This window comes from Homo sapiens, chromosome 1, assembly GCF_000001405.40.
Source record: "Homo sapiens chromosome 1, GRCh38.p14 Primary Assembly".
Lineage (NCBI taxonomy): Eukaryota > Metazoa > Chordata > Mammalia > Primates > Hominidae > Homo > Homo sapiens.
In genome coordinates this window covers 44739015-44739836 of record NC_000001.11, presented here as the reverse complement: position 1 = coordinate 44739836, position 822 = coordinate 44739015, and the positions used below count along the sequence as shown (strand labels likewise).

General features: G+C 49.4%; 1 annotated feature.

Annotated features, from left to right (window-relative positions):
- Positions 180 to 349: an enhancer, noted in NCBI's record as "active region_943". NCBI's record gives its function as "activates an Ori minimal core promoter by ATAC-STARR-seq in GM12878 lymphoblastoid cells {active_cell/tissue: GM12878}" and the evidence as "EXISTENCE:reporter gene assay evidence [ECO:0000049][PMID:35858748]".

The following is an 822-nucleotide window of genomic DNA, read 5'->3' as shown; positions in this document are numbered from 1 at the left end:
AAATCCCGCGCGCAAGCGTCCTTAAAACGTCATTCCGCTGTCCCCGCCCTCGCTTCCGCCAGTCAGCGGCGCCCTGCGGAGCCTTGGGGGAGACGCAGTTCCCAACCATCTTCCTACGCTTGGCACCGCCCATGCGTCTGGCCACACCCCCGAGCGCTGTGCCTTCTGGGAACTTCGCCGCTACGTGGGGTCTGGGGCTCCCATTTCTGGTATTGTCCTCGGTCACCTTGTACTGCGGGGTTCCCGAAAACTGGGAAACTTCAGTATGTATTTGACAATGAGGGCTCTGGGATCCTACAGACATGGGTTCGAATCGTAGCTTCTTCAATTGCAAGTTCAGTGACCTCGAGCAAGTTGGAGACTTGGCCGGGCGCGGTGGCTCACTCCTGTTAATCCCAACACTTAGGAAGGGAGAGGTGGGAGTGATCGCTCGAGATCAGAAGTTCGAGACCAGACAGGGCAACATAGCCAAGACCCTGTTCTCAAAGCAAAACAAAACCACAGATTAGAAACTTGACTTAGTTTTTCTTATTAAATAGTGCAGAAGCATGTTGCCTCATTCAAGGAGTTATGTATAAATTTCCAGAAAGACACTGATTCACCAGATATTTATTGAGTGAAGTCTACCACCTGCTAGGCATGGTACCAGGAAATGGAGATAATGAACTAGACACATAGTTCCTGTCCTCCTTTTTTTTTTTTTCCATTTAACCCTTAGTGGACACAGCACATGTTTCAGAGAGCACGGGGTTGGGGGTAAGGTTATAGATTAACAGCATCCCAAGGCAAAAGAATTTTTCTTAGTACAGAACAAAATGGAGT